Raw genomic sequence first — 19297 nt, 5'->3', positions numbered from 1 at the left:
AATGCAGTGTGGCTATTCTTAGTATTTCTCCACTTAGTGTGAGACTCTCTGGGATCCGACTGCATTATGTTTTTCTCAAATAATTCCTGTTTTTCTCTTCTTTCTACCTGAGCTTAATAGCTGGGACTATGATTTACCCTCTTAAATAAAATGAGAGTTTCTATTAAATTTCCTAATATGTAGTAGATATGAGTTGTAATTTTATTTGCTGTCCTTGTTGAGCTGTATGTATGTATGTATGTGTGTGTGTATATATGTATTTATTTATTTATGAATGACAGGGTCTTGCTCTGCTGCCCAGGCTGGAGTGCAGCAGCATGATCTTGGCTCACTGCAGCCTGGAACTACCGGGCACAAGCAATACTCCTGTCTCAGCCTCCCAAAGTGCTGGGATTACAGGAGTGAGCCACCATGCCCAGCCTGTATGGTTTTTTGAAGATGTGTAGAAAGATTCAGATCTAGGCATCTGTCATTATCTTCTAAGAATCCTTACTATCTAGCCTCAACTTATAAATACAATATCTATAAATTTTTAGGTAAGACTTTCATGTGTATCCTAAATAATTCACCTCTTTTAAATTATCTTTATACTGAGGAAACATAACAAAGTTTTTTTAACAAAGATAAAATATAAAAGATGGTTCACCCAGGTCTCTAAGCAATTTTAGTCTGCCTCCCTTCTCCTTGACCCTGTTGGACTAATAGAAGTCTTTCATATTGTGGTGGGTGTATATGATCAATGTACCCAGAATAGTCAGGATGTCATGGTGTTCAATATGTCCAGAGTAGCCTGTCTGAGATGGTCAGTGCCCCCAGGATGGTTGACATAGTCAGTGGATCTGGAGGGGTCAGTGTATGTGAGCCACTACTTTGAAGAGAGTGGCTGGTCTGTCCTGACTGATCTAGTTATGGACTATTCATTTTTGTATTTCTGAGTCCTCCTTGTCAGGAAATGGCATCCCTCTCTCAGGTTATATGGCACTAGATTGGCAGGGATGCAAAGTGTCAACTACTAATGGGGTATGAGACATAATTTCTTCATGGGAGGCCTTCTAGACTTTTTAAAGGGACTGACCCCAGGATCCTGGCAGGAGAAAAACTGGCCACAGGAAAGACTCAGCACTGCTTAGCTCCTAGTCACTTTCAAATAGTAGAGCTCCCTGTCTCCAACTCCTTGTGGTCCTGAGCAAGGCAAAAGGTGCCTTGATTGTGGTCCCTCTGGTAGAGAGAGAGAGAGAGAGAGAGAGAGAATCACTGGATATACTTACACATATTCACTGGCTGAAATTAATATGGGAAAACATCACATCAGTTGAATTACGGAGCAGGGGAGAAACTCAAGTGATTTAAATGGGTAGTGCTCTCTTATAAAAACAGAATTCTCGATAACTCTCCATTTTGTTGTTGTTAAGGCTGGAAAGCCCTCCCCTAATTTTTTAAAATTAAAACTGCAAATATTTAAAAATAAAACTTCACATGCAACACAAATTTTTGGCTTCTTTTGACAAATTGAATGATGGTGGCAGCATTGAGCCACCATCCCTAAGATGGAAACAACTGTCCAGAACTGAGCAATGGCTCCCCTCTGATAGGGCAGTGCCCTCCAGTCCTCACAGCCCTGCCACTCCCTGCCTCACATTCACCACTATTTCACTCATTTTTGTTCCCTAGAGTCATTTAAGTTTTTCTCTTCTGCTATTATCCAACCATCCTTTTTTGTTGAACTCTGCTACCACATCTTAGTTCAGACCCTGGTACAGCTACAACGTTATCATGCAAATCTGATGGTGTCATTTTCTGGTAATATACTGCCTACTACCAACCAAATGAAGGCCAGGCCCTTCCCAGTAGAATTCAATCTTATCTTTATCTCCCCGGTCCTGCCTCACACTGCTGTGGCCTCCACCTGCCATGCATGCTCAGACTTTCTTGTGCCTACCATTTCATCTGCTTGGGTTCCCTTTTGCATGCAACACTCAGCTCAAATATTAGCTCTTCCATGGGCTCTACTTGGCCAGCCAAGAGAGTTACTACTTCTGTTGTTTCCTTTATAGCGCAGTGATCAACTCCAACAGTCATGTATAGAGCAATCTAATAATATGGCCATCTCCTCCAGTACATTGTGAAGAAGTCTCGGGCAAAAACTGGGTCTGATTCATCTTTGCATCCCGAGAGAGTAAAAATGCATAATAAAAGAATTAAAGTTATAACTGGATAACAAGATATATTAGTCTTAGGCCCGGTTTTATCAGTCAGCTTGGGCTAAGTTATGCTGTGAAAATAAACTCTATCCAAATCTCAGTGGCTTATAAAGCAAAGGTTTATTTTTAATGCACACTACTCATCTATGATGGATTGGCTACATCTCTGGTCCACGTCTTCACTTTAGGATCCAGGTTGAAAGAGCTCTGTGAGGTCGCCAGTCTCACTGCAAAGGAAAAGAATGGTGACCATGCCCTAGCTCCTAAAACTTCTGCTCAGAAGTGGCACACGTCATTTCTGCCCACATTTCACTGGTCAAAGCAAACCATATGTCCAAGCATGAAGCCAATGGGGCCAAGTTGTAAAATCCTCCCAAAAGAAGGGAAAGTGGCCAGGCACAGTGGCTCACTCCTGTAATCCAAGCACTTTGGGAGGCCAAGGTGGAAGGACTGCTTGAGCCCAGGAGTTTGAGACCAGCCTGGGCAACTTAGTGAGACCCTGTCTCTACAAAAAAAAAAATCAGAAAAAAAAAAATTAGCCCATTGTGGCATGCACCTGTAGTCTCAGCTACTAACGAGGCTGAGGCAGGAGGATCACATGAACCCAGGAGGTTGAGGGTGCACAGTGAGCCATGATTGCATCACTGCACTCCAGCCTGGGTGACAAAGCAAGACCCTGTCTCCAAAAAAAAAAAAAAAAAAAAAGGAGGGGACTGGACGGATGTCATTAAATTTAATACAATCTACTACATTCCATCCTCTTCAGTTCCCCTTTCCTCTGCCTTTTCAGCGGCATGGACAAGCCTTTAGAACATGTTTCTCAGGCTCCTATGTCAGCTGGCTTCTGGCTGGGTTCAGCTAAGGGAAGCCGCCCCAGAGACAGGAGAGTGTGAGGCTGGGAAATGCCAGAGTATTTTTCCCCATCCCTCACTATCTCAGGGAGCTTCTCCTACAGCAGCTCTATTTTCTTTGTGGTTCTAGCTCCCATGTGATAGGCCTGCTATAGTTTCTGCTTCTGCTGAGTAATCCCAGATGCTACAACCTTAAGAGTCATATAATCTGATCCAGTTTCCTAATGTGTAAAACAGGGAGAGAATCTGCTCACATTATCTATTTCAAGAAAAAGAAAAATCCCTGGTTGTCTAGTGGTTAGGGGGAAAAAAACAAAGAATGTACATTAAAATTGTAAACAATAAAGTGCTGGACAAATAAGGAATTTAAGGGTATACGAATAAGGCAATATGGTGTAGCAGAAAAGAAAACAGGACTGGGGATAATAATTCTTGGTTCAAGATCTTGCTTTTCTGCAAATTGGAGACAACATTGTTGGTAATGTAGTGGTTGCAGAGACGCATCAATGAAAGTATTTGTGAAACTTTATATTATCAAGTATAAAAAGCTATACAAACAAATGAATTCGCTAGCTATAAGCAGAAAAAAACTTTATTTCTATCAAATTGAAAAGTATGAACCTTCAAGCAAGATAATCAACATAATCAATAATACAATTAACAGTTAGGATAGCATATACAGATCAGACTGGAGGTTTAGATACTTGGAAGCACATACACCAAAATTAAGAGGGCCAGCAACTGTCCCACCGAGGAAAAGCACTCTGACTCATCATAAACACACGACTTCTGGGAAACTTGAGCTGACATTTCACAGGACAGTAAACCAAAGAGACAGGTTGTCATTGGGTTATAGAACTGATCTGAGCTTGAGAGGGATCACAGTGAAATGCCATTGTAACTCAACAATTTCCCCAGAGATCTGTTCATCTCAAAAACAGGAATATATAAAAATCAGTAGTACAAATTCTCATAAAACTAGAAAAGCCCTTTAAGCCCTAATATCCTTGGAGCTTACATAAAGACTGAGTTTTCATTTTTCTTCCCTTTAGTCTTCCCTAAATTAAATACAAAATAGTTTGTTATTTAGGACATTTCTGACTATATAGCCAAAGCTTTAAAATGAAGACAAGAATAATTTTTATAAAATGAATTAGACACATATCAACCCTAGGGGGAATCTTCAAGGTGGTCTGCTCCTTTGAAAAGCTTTAAACAGGAAAGCTTTTATTTAAAGAATGACACTGTGCTTCTGGGAATAACCTAATTATTACCAGAGGAAGGAATTCATATCTATGCCATACAAGAGCTTTCATCCTTTAGAAATGTTTTACTGCAGTATCTCTCTCTCTCACACACACACCACACACACACAAAAATGATCAAATTGGGGAACTCCCTGAAACATACAGATAATGGCATTTATTCTGGCAAGAACTGTGCAAATTGTTACAAGAAAGATAAGGGATGGCAAGTATGAACAACTATATTTCAACAGATGCAGGAAGCAGATTTTTTTCACAGTTGAAATATGGCTTCTCAACCTCTGGGGCCTGCACACTTCTCATTTGGAAACCAGATTGGGTCAGTTACATGTGGAAAGAAATAACTTACTACCAGACCACATTTCCACATTAAAAGAAGTCTTTATTACTAGGTTATTTTTTTTAAAGACACCAAATAGACCAAGAGTTACTAAAAATTGAAGGAGATATTGAGAAAGCAAGTCATACTATGAACAGGACCTCACCTTATGAATTGCCTCTCTAGCAAAATCAACTGCAGAAAGGAAAGACACTGTCAAATGAAAGGTAATAAACAGAATTCTCAGGTGGACACAAATACCTACTGAAATCCTGTAACCCAGCAGAGTACAGATGAGACACGCCCTCTGTAGATACAGTGTGCAACTACCAGTGTGACTCTGAGTGCCCATTTCCTGTCTCTGCACCAAAGCACCAAAAACAGATTCCAGGCTGAAGCAAATATGTTGTTTTATCTGTTAAAGAGAACAGGGAGCTCAAACTAGGGAAAGGTATTAAAAAGGCCATTTGAGTTTCCTAATCCCTACAGGTACATGAAAACCCGTTTAAATAAACAGGATTATTTCCATTTATAATACAAGGAGGCAAGTTTAGATTATTACATATGTAATTGATGAGGATTTGATTAGCCAATGCATGTAATGTGCCTAACATGAAGTAAACAGACAGTACCTAGTGCCTATACCTGAACACACTTGGAAATATGTGGTATTTATTATTTGAGCAAAGACCTCCAGCAGGCTTCAACTCTTTGGACAAAAAGCTAATGTCAAATACTGAACTCAGGTTCCGGTGAACTAAACTTTATAAAAGCACTATTTATGGGTTTGTGCAGGTATCTTTCTAAAGTTATCCGGTCTCAACATCTTAAATAGCAGGAAAAACCACAGTGGCTCCTCGCTCCAAGAATCCTTCCTCACTGATGGCTATTCTTACCTTTCTCCTTCCCTACCAAAGAGATGGGCACACCTAGGGTAACAATGGAACTCATCTGAGTTTGGCTGCTAGAGGGCAGCAGGGGGGTGATCCCTGGGGAAGGACAAGACAGGAAGTGAATCTCCCCTGGTTACTGCCTCAACTGTTGCACGACAAGCAGATGGTGGGCAAAGGTTTGGATCTGGCATTCAGAGTCATGTTAATGTGTAATGGAATAGACAATGGTACAAAAGTCAGGAGTTAACCTGTGTTCAATGCTTCATCATTGCTTGTTTACCTACCAGCATTTTAGGAAGGATTAGTTTATCATCAAGGCCTTGTTTGGAGTGGGAGTAAGGGGGTGATTTGTTCTGATCTCAGGAAGGAAAAGTGAGCAGGATCTGGATAGCTCCAAGGAGCTCAAAAGCCTATGTGTGAGCACCATGGCTGGGGACGGCTCAAGGGTAAAGGCCACTTCGGGGCACAATCCAATGGACACCAAAAGGATAGGTAAGGAACACGAGCTTGCTTCCTTCATAGATTAGCCTGGGCCCAAGCCCAGCCTACTTTGACAGTCTTTTATTCTATTCATAAAGGAGGTCTTATGCAGGAAAACTAAGACTCTCATCTAGCAGCTTTCTTTTCTTAAGCTAAGAAAAAGGAATGTCATAAAAAGGTGAACATCACTTTGGTGAGCTCTGCTATTTTTTTTTTTTAAGAGAGAGGGTCTCGCTGTGTCGCCCAGGCTTGGGTGCAGAGGTGCAATCATAGCTCACTGCAGCCTCGAATTCCTAGGATCAAGCAATCCTCCTGCCTAAGTCTCCTGAGTAACTAGGACCATAAGTGTACACCACCATGACTGGCTAATTTTTTACTTTTCCGTAGAGATGGAGTCTTGTGATATTGCCCAGCCTGGTCTTGAACTTTTGGCCTCCGACAACCTTCCCATCATGGCTTCCCAAAGCATTGGGACTACAGACATGGACTAGCTCCATTTCTTGATGTGAGGCCATAAGCAGAACCAAGCAGACTCAAGGCCCTTGGTTGCTTGGACACAATTAGCTATTAATAACATCCAGGAAAAAGCTCAGTCTTCTGAGTCAGGAAAACCTGGGCTGGAGTCCTGGCTACACTGGTCACCAGCAGCAGAAGCCTGGGCAAGATGCTTCACATCCCTGGGACCCCTGTCTTCTTTGTTTATCAACGTGAAATCATGGCTGTTTCACAGGATGCTAGAAAGATTAAATGAGATGTTTATGAAGGTCCTAAAACCGCACATTTCACTCAGTAGGTTTTCAATAAACAGTACCTATCTTAAGTCTGCGTTAGTGTTGGAGGGTATTAAATACAGCAGCCTTTCCAAGTTCTAAGTAAGAAAGAAGCCTGTTAGGATAATGGAAGCAAATTGAATTAAGAGCTGGGTAGAATGACAGAATGCGAGGTCAGGTTGGCATCTTAGAAACCATCTGAACCACTCTCTTTGCTTAAAGGTGAAGGAACGGTCATGTGTGGCAATAGAAAAAAAAAAAACAAAACAAGAAAAGATGTCCCTTTAATTTTACTTTTGTCAAAACATTTTCAAGATTACTTTAATTTTTACAATATCATTTAAGGGAAAACTAGTGAGTTTGTTGAAGAAAACAAGAAACAGATTTTTTTAAAGCCATTGACCACGAAATAAGCATTATGTTTCAAAGACCATGAAAAAGTTATTTGTCTCTTTTTGGTCTCAACTAGCGAGGGAGGTGAGACCAAACTGCTCAACCGCTGGACAATCTCAGCAAACACACCCACTGTTGAGACTTATTGAGTGACTCAATGTTGGCTAGAATTGTCCATTTAGCTGGAGGGGAAGAGGGAGGGAAGGATGGATGGAGGAGTGAAGTATGGAAGCAGGGATCAGGCCACTTCCCGTACCTCTCCCAAACTCCAAAGGCAATGATCACATTGGAGGGTCAGCTAAACACAAAGGGAAGTGAAGAAAGAAGTTTGAAGATTTTCCTGTTTCCAAAAATCACATACTTTCCTCTTTTGAGTATTCTATAGAATAACTCTCTACATTTCCTAGTTTGTGGAAATTTTCTCTACGGCATAACTACTCTAAATTGTGCAATTTTCCTCATATCAGACTTATTTTTCTCTATACCTGGTTCCCTAGCAAACCTGAGCTTTATTTATATATCTGATATGCACCCCATCTCCACAGCTGGCATTCAATTGCAACTCTAAATTCTAAAGTGCTCAGAGTCAATATAATGCACTGACGATTCAGACCTGACTGGGCATTTTCACTGCATAAATCTAAAAAGTAAACAATCTCATTATGTTTGAGAGGATGGATGGGGAGAAAACTGATCTATATTTCCACTAAGGTAGCCAAGAAATATTCACATGAAGGGACAATGGGAGAGGAGCTGGCAAGAGTTTGGGCAGTACTTAGAAGGAAGATGCATTCCTTATCATATAGATTACATATGGCAGTGAATTGACAGAGGATTCACTGGGACATCTTCAGAAAGTAAGTAATGTGTTTCAACACCACTAAAGTGTTAAAATAGGCTTCTTTTCTTCTCGCCAGTATGAAAAGTTAGACAGGAGTCACTCCCAAGAATAGTAAAGGACACTCACTGGGGACAGTCATGATGGGTGAAGAAGGGATACATATTTTTAAGGCAGCAGGAATAAATTTCATCATCCTTCCCAGAAGACAGCAAGAATTATTCAAGGTGGCCACCAAGTCTGGAAACCAGGCAAATCTTTTAACAAATGGTTTATTGATATGTTATAATGAATGACAAAATATTAGTATCTAATTCTAGACTTTATGGCCACCCCATAGGATGAATCTTTGGAACAGAAAAAAAAAATAAAGAATTTGTTTTCTCATAATCATAAAGCTGTTATACTCAGTCCAGGCACAGCTAGTACAACATTCTGCTCAACCCCACAGGCTCCATTCCCTTTACCACATATTTATAATATGTTTGGGTCACTCATAGGAGTGAAACACTGTCAGCATCAATAGTTAGCAGCACTTTCAAAATACATTTTATTGTCCCGAATAGAAACCTTAACTATTCAATTAGTCCAGTAATTCCAAATGGTCTTATTACTTCTATACATAAGATATGATCTTACAACATTTATGTAGCTAAATACTTAACTTCCCATGCTTTTTGAGGATTCCCAAAAGACTTTAGGGGGTTCCCAAGACTTTCAGGGTTTTTTTTTTTTTTCACAATAAAAGAAAGGAACAGTGTCAATCCATAAAGTCAGACCAGCAGTTTAATAAGATCCTCTTCATAGCTCAGTTCTCAGTGCATACAGAGATTCAATATAGCCCCATCGCTCTCAGTTATTAGAATCTGAGAGGGATAAAAGCAATAACTATTGTTTAAAAGCCTAAGAGTGAAAACAGATGTCCAAAAAAAAAAAGAAAAAAAAAAGCCAAATTCTTTCATCCCAGGATGTCTGAAAAGGAGAGACTCTATGGAGCGTGGATGTAGAAAAGGAGTTATTCCTACCGGAAAAAAATGAACTGTGGACACAGTCACTCAAGACCAGAGAAACAACCACTATGAGTAAGTAGCTTCAATTTCACTGTTACCAGGAGGGCACACACCAGAAAGCCTGGGACAAAGCCTGGGCTAGAGCCCTCAGGATTCATTCTCAGGCTTCCTGGTGCTGTGGTTCAACAGCCTTTGTGGGGATGGGGAGAACCAGAGACTATCACCATCACATGTCAAAAATATTACCACAGCAACAGCTGTCAAAAACCAGCTGGAGCTGAAGTTACACACCATTTGAAATCCACACTGTACTTGCTTTCTTGTGATGGGCTTGAGACATGTGCAGAGACACCTTAAACATGTGTAGGTGACCAGCCTTTTGAAAGGCAGAGGAGGGCCTCTTCATGAACTCTTTCTACTCATTTGTTTTCCTATCAGTTCACCATTTCAACTAGAAAAGATGCTGCAAGCTACCTCAGCTAGCTTCTAATTTGGACACAGCACCAATACTACACACACTATTGAATGAATGACCACATCTTCCTGGTTCTTCCATTGGGCAGGGTCAATATGCTTCTTTGGACTGAATAGGTGTGATCTTGTTTGAGAAAAGTGTGTAAACGTAGGGCCAGATTTTGTTCGTCTCCGTTCCGGAAAATTGGTGGAGCACTCCTCGGCTCCTGAAAAACAAAGCCCAACATACAATGGCTTTTTAGGTTTCTTTTCCACGTATTAGTGCAGAAGATCCTAGATATAAAACAAGCATGATCTCATGGTCTATATCATATACCACACTAAGTGCTAAAACAGCCCCTTTCAAAGGTATCAACACCTCCACTGGGTGTACATAAATAAGGTCATAGCTTTTGCAATTCTGGTATGCTTGTCATGATGCCACCTTTTTTCTCCCCCTTTAAAACATATCAAAGAATAGCATTATAGGGGCCATTCCAAATGTGCCCCAATATATAATTTTCAAAAGCGAACCACTGAAAAGCTTTACTAAAACCTATATTACTTAGTCAATCATGGAATACATAATTGATGTATCATAATAATATGATCATAAAACTCTGATCTTAAGGTTTGCTAAATTTTGGGGGGGACTACAAGGCCAGAAAGTGATTGTAACAGAGTATAAACTGCTGTTTTGAATGCACTCAGCATAAAGTTTTGTTTGACTTGCATGTTATTTAAAAAATTTAAATATGTTGCCAATATGAAAACTGAGATTCCCCCTCACACACATACACACAGAAAACCAGATTTCTGCTATTCCTGAAAAATGGGAATCATTGGCCTGCGTGCCCTAGAATGATAACTGGCCGGAACAGCCCAAGACCTGTCACTCAACTGTCTAGCTTGACACATCCCCCACCATGTTTGAGACTCATTTCCAATACCTGCCCTAGCCCCTGCAGCCATTTGAATTTTTAATCTCTGGTTTACGGTTTTAGCCTTTTTTTGTTAAACTCCTTACAGACACTTCAAGAAGGGACACACCAAGTGTCTTCTAATCTTCTATCCAAACCATATATTTATATGTGGGAGTATCAACATATGTGGGACCACTATCTCAGTCACTTAAATTTTTAAGAAAATGAAAATAAATCTCAATGTTGTTTTACATCCAAAGCAGACAGAGATGATCAGGTTTGGGTCCTTATGTTCTAACAGTTTCAGGATAAAAGTATTGAACCTTATCTTTCATGTACAGCTCCAGCATTTCATCTGACTTCTGGGAAGGTTTTGGATCGCTAGTGTTTATCTGTCTTAAAGAAACACTACTCTGCCTCAGCCCCGTGTTCCTCCCAGCAGGCTCCACACCTTTCCAGTCTGTCCTTTGTCATGAAAATATTGAAGCACACTCACTTGTATAATTCAATGACTGGCTTTGCCACGTCTTTGTACTGTCTTAGCCTGGCAGCAACTGCTTCGGGTTTATCATCCTCCTGCTGGACTAACGGTTCACCAGTGACGTCATCAATACCCTACAAATACCAAATAAACCAATTAATATAGACAACAGTTGGGCCATTTCATAGGTTAAAAACTTTTCTGTGCAAAACCATGTATTCATCTTTAACTCCTACCACATGATGAATTAGGCCTTGGTGACAGTGGTAATTTTAAGAGTAGTAGAAAAAGAAATAGCACACTTAACAGTATGTTAACCTTATTTCCTGGGAGCTGACATTAAATCTTTATTAACAGTTCAGATCTTTTCAAACATGTTCCAGTGCTGTTGATAAATGGTACTTTCAATTCAGCCTAAAATTGCATGCAACCTCTCCTAACAACAAACCTTGTCATCTTGGTTCTCTAAATATCCCTAAAACTACCTTGTCTTCTAAAATAAAGCCTGAGTTCTTAATGCGGAAAACAAAATCTCAAAAAAACAACTTGGCTTACTTAGGAAAAATACTAATCTAGGAGAATACGGTTCAGTACCATCTCTGCCAGCTTTCCAATTCTATTCTGGAGCTTCTATGAAATTTCTCTTATTCAGGTTATTTTACTAGATCAAATAATGACATACACTGTAGGAACATACAGAAGGGAAAAAAAACTGAAGTGACTGTGTCCTCACCTAAATTATATTACTCAAAAGGTAAGCTGGTGTTGGATTTGTTAAATCCTTTATTTTAGCTTTTCCTATGTGTTGCTTCTTTCTCAATGTAAAACAAAAAATATACCTTAACTGCTAGTTCTGATTAATACAGGTTTTATTTTATTTATTTATTTATTTTAAGACGGAGTCTCACTCTGTTGCCCAGGCTGGAGTGCAATGGCTCGATCTCGGCTCACTGCAACCTCCGCCTCCCGGGTTCAAGTGATTCTCCTGCCTCAGCCGAACAGGTGGGATTACAGGTGCCTGCCACCATGCCCAGCTAATTTTTGTATTTTTAGTAGAGACAGTGTGGTTCACCACGTTGGTCAGGCTGGTCTCGAACTCCTGACCTGAGGTGATCCACCTGCCTTGGCCTCCCAAAGTGCTGGTATTACAGGCATAAGCCACTGCGCCTGGCTGGTTTTATGTATTTGATTTGAAAATGTATATGATTTTCTGCAGTATGTTTGTCTAATTATTTTGCTAGCTTTCTATTCCCCCCCAAAATCTCATGAAGGACATTATAATAAAGTTATAGCTGATATCATACATAAGGTTAAATATTGAATACACTTACTATAAGTTTGGGGAAAAAGGCAAGAACCCCCCCACTCTCATCATACGTGATAACATTTATCAGTTGGTTGGGGCGCAGTGGCTCATGCCTATAATCTCAGCACTTTGGGAGGCCAAGGCGGGCGGATCACTTAAGGTCAGGAGTTTGAGACCAGCCTGGCCAACATGGCAAAACCCCGTCTCTACTAAAAATACAAAAATTAGCCGGGTGTGGTGGCGGGTGCCTGTATTCTCAACTACTCGAGAGTCTGAGGCAGGAGAATCACTTGAACCCAGGGGCAAAGGTTGCAGTGAAATCGTGTCACTGCACTCCAGCCTGGGTGACAGAGCGAGACACTGTCTCAAAAAAATTTAAATAAAAATAATAAAAAATAAAAAATAACATTTATTTTAGTGAAACTCTTAACCACTAAAATTAAGGAAAAGAGAAACAGAAGGCATGAATTAGAATATTTAAAAAATGACATATTTAAAGGTGTATTAAAATAGAAATTATTAAATTACCCATGACAATCAGGGACAAACATTCTGAGAACTGAAAAATTATAATTAAAAAAAAAACACCTTGATTTTCAATTTGTTTTAATCTCCCCAGGAATCATGCCTCCTTAAAATTGCAAAATGGACACGTTTTGAATTTTGCCTCCCACATCCATGACTATTACTCACCAGGGGAGATAGTCACAAGAAATAAACCTGTCAAAAGGTAGGCCAGAACAGAACTGAGAGGCACAGGCAACTCAACTGGATAATCAGAAACTGGCTATAAATTTGAAATGCACTAAAATTCCATTACAGCTCAGGGCCTTGGGTATATGACTTATTCTTATGATTTATGAGTAAGCCATGTAATTATCACATGTGTATTCTATGGTTGTTAACCCAACATGACAAGAGAGATGGGGATGGGAGAATATATTACCTCTATTGCCACCTTCTTTATTTTACTTACAGCCACAAGGCTCAGAAAGTCATTTCCAGAATTTCAGAGCATCAGCAAATACAACCCTGTTTCCAAAAAGCAGAATGATGCTAGAGCAACAGCGTCCCTCCTTCCCAGGGAATCCGGCTACCACTGACACAGGAGTTAAGAAGAAATCACTTAGGCAGATGGTAAGGGCATGGGAATCCTCAGTAAGGCTTTTCTCTTTAATGAAAAGCAGCCCCAAATCATTTTCTAACAAAGATCAGCCTGTAAAGTCGAGCTGCAGACATAGACAAGCAAGCTGGGAGCTTGCACGGGGGAATGCTGGCAGGAACTAGGGACTAGACATGTTCAAGATGGCGGCTCCATCTTCCCTTCTCTTTGTCAGCCACGTGTACTATCAGAAGCAGGACAGGGAGAGTTCATTTGTATAATAAGGTTAGGGTGGGGCCACCAGCCTTTCTCCAGCACTGTGTAAACATCATGCCTGATCCAAACAATCTGTGAGCCCTATGTAAATCAGACACCATCTCCTCACCCTGGACTATAAAATCCGGGGCATCCACCACCAGCTGGTCTTTTCCACTTGGAGCCCCTTCTATCTCTGTAGAGAGGGCTGTTTCTCTTTCTCTTCTCTTCTCTTCTGCCTATTAAACCTCCGCTCCTAAACTCCTTGCGTCCGTGTCCTAAATTTTCCTGGCATGAGATGACGAACCCCAGGGTATATATCCCAGACAACATAGCCACTTCACCACAGCTGGTAGAGCTGGTCTAGGTTAGCACTTTCACTATGGTCTTCAAAAGCAGCATGGTAATTGCAGATGTTCTTTGAGGGAAACCCAGGCTTTGAAAAGCAACTCAGTGGTAAGGCTTTTCAAATTTTATGAGAATCTCTGCGTCAGCAGGTCTGGACAAATGCAAAATATAAAGCGTCTGTGTTGGACTTCAGTTTTCCCATCTGTATTGTCAGAACTCCTTTTTTATTCCCACCCATTTTTCCCCCATCATAGCTTCTTGAGACAGATATCAGGAAGGGATCTAATACAAGAATTAGAAAATTTTTATGTTTTTTGGAGGTGGGAGGGAGGCCAGGTCTTACTCTGTCGCCCAGGCTGAAGTGCAGTGGCACAATCACAGCTCACTACAGCCTTGACCTCCCAGGCCAACAAGCCTGGCCTGCTTTTACATTTTTAAAAGAAGACTTCAAAAGGAGTGCTTAGTGAAAAAGTCTCACTGGGACTTTACTGACACAATGGCACCCAGGAGTTGGGAAGCCATTCTTAGCCCCTCGAAGAAATTTTCTATAGTAATTACTGACTCCATCTATATCCAAGTGTAATGTTTCCATAAAGACTAACCTAGTAAGGCATGTATTCCACATTTGAATAACAAGTAATACTATCTACCACCCAAAACTGGCGTTCACTATTATATGATAAAGACAGCTCAATCTGTCTTTATCAGATAGTCTTTATCATAAACCAAATAGTCTTTATCAAAAAAACAATAATTCTTTAAGAAAATTTGTTAAAATATCTTTACACATATACCTTTACACATGTCTAATTTTAGGTAACTGTATCAATGTTATACTTTGAACTGTTTAAGGGTAATCTTTTTATTCCTTTAGCCTTCCCTAGTCACTTAACTACCCACTCTGCACATCAACTATGATTCCTTTCCCTCATCCAGTTCCAGCCCAGGATACAGCCCTCATGACTTTCTCCCTGATCTTATAAAGCTATAGATCACACACTCACACACACAAACAGATATACATAAAGAGGTGTAGTCCCTGTTTTACAAAAATGGGATCATTCTGCTGTTTGCACTTCTCATTGAAAAATACTTTCAGGGCCATGCGCAGTGGCTCGTACCTGTCATCTCAGCACTTTGGGAGGCCAAGGCAGGTGGATCACTTGAGATCAGGGGTTCGAGACCAGCCTGGCTAGCATAGTGAAACCCTGTCTTTACTAAAAATACAAAAACTAGCCAGGCATGCTGGCACATGCCTGTAATCCCAGCTACTCAGGAGGCTGAGGCAGAAAAATCACTTGAACCCAGGAGGCGGACGTTGCAGTGAGCTGAGATCACGCCACTGCACTCCAGCCTGGGTGATGGAGCGAGACTCCATCTCAGAAAAGAAAATAAAAAAGAAAAACACTTTCAGAAGATTTCTCCATGTCAAAAAACTATAATGCTCACCTAGCAGAACGGCTGAAATCTAAAACACTTACTACACTAAATACTGGTGATGATATGGAGAAATAGAAACATTTATTGCTGGTGGAAATGCAAAATCAAATAACCAGTTTGGAAGACAATTTGCCAGTTACTCACAAAGCTAAAATATACACTTACAATCCAGCAATTACACTCCTTGGTCTTTACCCAAAATAGTTGAAAACTTACATTTTGCACAAAACTCTGCACGTGAATATTTGGAGCAGCTTTATTCATAAATGCCAAGACATGGAACCAAGATGTTCTTCAAAACGAATAAACTGTGGTACATCCATACAATGGAACATTATTCACTTACAAAAATAAATGAGCTACCAAGCCTCCAAAAAACACAGAATGTGTAGTGCATATCACTAAGTGAAAGGAGCCAAGTCTGATAAGTAGATATACTATATGATTCCAACGATATGACATTCTATAGAAGGCAAAATTATAAGGACAGTAAAAAGATCTGTAGTTTTCAGAAGTTTGGCGAAAATCAGGGAGGAATTAATAGGTAGAGCACAGGAAATATAAATTATAAGACCATGAAACTATTCTGTATAATGCAGTAATGATGGAAAAATGTCATGTCATTGTGCATTTGTGAAAATCCATAGACTATAAAAAACGAAAACGTCAATGCAAACTATGAATTTTAGTTAATAACTTTTCTATATTAGTTTATTAACTGTAACAAATGTACTACACTAATGCAAAATGCTAATAATGAAGAAGCTAGGGTGAGGGAGGGGATTTTCCATTTAATTTTTATGTAAACCTAAAGCTTATCTAAAAATCAAGTATATTAATTTTTAAGTAGTGCTAATTCATTCTTTTTACTGACTATATTATATTCCAAGATGGTATAAATATTCTCCAATGTATTTAACCATTCCACTACAGATGGACATTCATTTGCTTTTTTGAGATTTTTTTGGTTTTGTTTTTTGCCCACTACAGCAACATTGAAACAAGCATCAACCTATACATGACCTAACCTGCTAATGCTTCCATTTCCACAGCTATTCTCTTAAAAGTAGCCTGAATTAAATTATTTACTTAAAATTCTGAATGTACATTGTTATGTTGCTTTAAAAAGAGGCTAGTAATACTTCAGCTAACAAAAAAAGGGAGTATTATTTTCCCCAGATCCCACCAGCAATAGACTTTTAGTTTTATTTTTTAAATAAAATAAATATAATTATATACATTGTATACATATATTTATCAGTAATAAATATAAAATTAAAAATTTTTATATTTTGATTTTGCCAGTCCAATAGATCCAAAGTGATATCCTATTTAAATACTTAAATGTCCCTTCCCTGACAACTACATTTGAACATTTAAAAAATGTTTTTTGGTCATGTAGATTTGTTCTTTTTTGAATGGTCTACTCATATCCTTTTCTCCACTTTTCAATGGAAATTGTTTGTCTTTTTCTTGTCAGGTTGTGAAAGCACTTTGTATATTCTTACATGTACATGAGGTGGATTGAAGTCCAGGTTATATACCCTTCCGCTAGGAGGGTGAATCCAACGGCGGCTGAGACGATCTTTAAGTGTTTCAAATGGAATATTCAAACTGATCACTAGATCCACTTCACAGATTTTGTCCAGGGCTTCGGCTTGTCCTAATGTCCTAGGAAAACCTAAATGCAAAGAACAAAACAAGTGAAATGCAAGCTATTGCCCAGTTCCAATTAGTTCTTGAAACATTTTCAGTGACAGAATTAAATCTGCATATACCATTCTAAAAGGAGCTTTACACTATCTGGGTGATGGGATCATTTGCATCCCAAACCTTAGCACCACATAATAAATCCATGTCACAAACCTGCACATGTATCCTCTGAATCTAAAAGTTGAAATTATTTTTTAAAAATGAGCTTTAACCAAGAATATCTACCTCCATAAATGTAATATTAAAATAAAATATGCTATTCTATAACCTAGCTTCTGCATTTGGAAGACTCAAAGATTAAGGAATCATATGATAAAAATTTAAAATGCGCTAAACTAAAAATCACTAAACCAGTCCTGGCTCTAGTCCTTTCTCTGCTCTTAACTACCTGTGTCACCTCAGGCAAGTTACATCACCTCCATTTCCACTTCTGTTAAAAAAGTGAAGGGAAAGCATTTTATCTTACATCATTTTAACACTAGCCATTTATGAGTAGGTTCTTAGGTTAGCAAAAATAACTATATACATTTATTTTAGAGTCTAAATCAATTAAAGTATGATCCTCCATCCAGACCTTCACCTGAGTCTGCACTTTAACCAAGGTAGGCAATCTGATTAACAGCATGGTGACTATCATAAATACTGTATTGTACACTTGAAATGTGCTCAGAGTTGATTTTCAGGATTCTCGCCACACACATAAGAAATCATACCTATGTGAGATGATGGATATGTTAATTATTAAACCTAACTGTGGTAATCATTTCACACTGTATGTATCAAAGCATCACATTGTACACCTTAAATATATACACTTACTTGTCAAGTATACCGCGATAAAGCTGGAAAAAATTTGAAATTGTTTTAAGTCTATTTAAAGATTTTAAAAGGAACTAGAGTTTTTAAATCTATTGGGATAATGCAAAACTTATTCTTCCTACTTTTCTAAATGTGTGGAAATAACAAAATTAAAATTTGGGCTCATGGGCATCTCTTCCTTTTCTGATTTAAGTATAAGCTCTGGGTGACCTCAGGAGTTAGGTCATATGACCCCAAATTACACTTTTCTTCAGAGATTGACCTGTTTAAATGTAACTCCAGGTTTGGCTCTGGTGGGGCTACACAGTGGTAACTTTTTCCTAAACAAATCACTCCAGTTTATCTGCTCTGACAAAAATCTTGCTGGATCTACTATCATTTTCTAAAAAAATGTCTTTATATCCTAGTTAAAGAACCAGGTAGATGAAGAGCTGAAAGTATAATAAAAGATGCAACATCCAGAAGAGAAACTTTAAATCCATTCAGATAAGGATACCAGCCCATCTCTACCCTTTCAAAATTGGAAGTATCAAGATGACAACTTAAAAATGGGTATTCATGGCCCTGTAGCACTTACAATTCAAAGAATTCCTTTCCTTACTGCAGGAAGTTGGTGGCTCAAACATGAATATGCAGCACTGCATTGAAACCCCTAAGTCTGTGTGAATGCCAAGCTGATTTGAGTGCTCACTGAGTTGAATGTGACAAAATCCACCCACGCCACTGCTTCAGGTACCTATTGCTTGCTAACTCTCCAATGCTTCCTCCAAAGCCTTCCTTACTGCCTGTGAGCCATCCACATAAAGTCCCCTCTCAATGACTGTCAGGTTCTGCCTTTCCCTGGACAACTCACTCTTCACTACAATGTCAAGATGGCAATTGGAATAAAAAGTTGCCTGCAAGGCCAGGCACAGTCGCTCACACCTGTAATCTCAACACTTTAGGAGGCCGAGGCAGTGGGATCACTTGAGGCCAGGAATTCAAGGCCAGCCTGGGCAATGTAGAGAGAACCCATCTCTACCAAAAATAAAAATTAAAAAATTGCTTTTACTGGTGATGCATGCCTGTAGTTACAGGTACTTGGGAAGCTGAGGTGGGAGGATTACTTGAGCCCAAGGAGTTCAAGGCTGCAGTGAGCTACAATCACACTACTGCACTCCAGCCTGGGTGACAGAGTGAGATAGTGAGCTCCTGTCTCAAAAAGAAAAAAAAAAGAAGAAAAGAAAGAAAAGGAAGACAGAGAGAAAGAGAAAGAAAGAAAAAAGAAAAAAAAAGAAAGGTACCTACAGCCCAAACAACCTCAAGATCATCTATAAACTCTTTCCCCGCAAACCTCTGCCACATCAATGAAAAGCATTTTCTAAAGCAGTGGCTTCCAAAGTTATCTTCACTGAAGTACAGAAAGAAAATATTTGAACTTTGGGGAAGCGGGAGGCA

At 39.4% G+C, this 19297-nt stretch overlaps 1 protein-coding gene across 6 annotated transcripts in view; it reads right to left on the bottom strand.

Annotated features, from left to right (window-relative positions):
- Positions 1–3617: 3617 nt before the first annotated feature.
- AK4 (adenylate kinase 4) overlaps positions 3618–19297 on the bottom strand; it is an 84594-nt gene continuing 68914 nt past the window's right edge. For all 6 annotated transcript variants that reach the window (NM_203464.3, XM_017000613.2, NM_001005353.3 and 3 more), the window contains 3 exons: positions 16837–17009; positions 10893–11011; positions 3618–9700 (listed from right to left, as the gene is read on the bottom strand). In NM_203464.3, the coding sequence (NP_982289.1) occupies positions 9586–9700; positions 10893–11011; positions 16837–17009 (407 nt within the window). In that variant the 3' untranslated portion in view covers positions 3618–9585. The remainder of the gene's footprint in view (positions 9701–10892; positions 11012–16836; positions 17010–19297) is intronic.

The sequence above is a fragment of the Homo sapiens genome, chromosome 1 (assembly GCF_000001405.40).
Source record: "Homo sapiens chromosome 1, GRCh38.p14 Primary Assembly".
Classification (NCBI taxonomy): Eukaryota; Metazoa; Chordata; class Mammalia; order Primates; family Hominidae; genus Homo; species Homo sapiens.
Note: the sequence above shows the minus strand (reverse complement) of the source record. Positions and strands in the feature narration are given on the sequence as shown.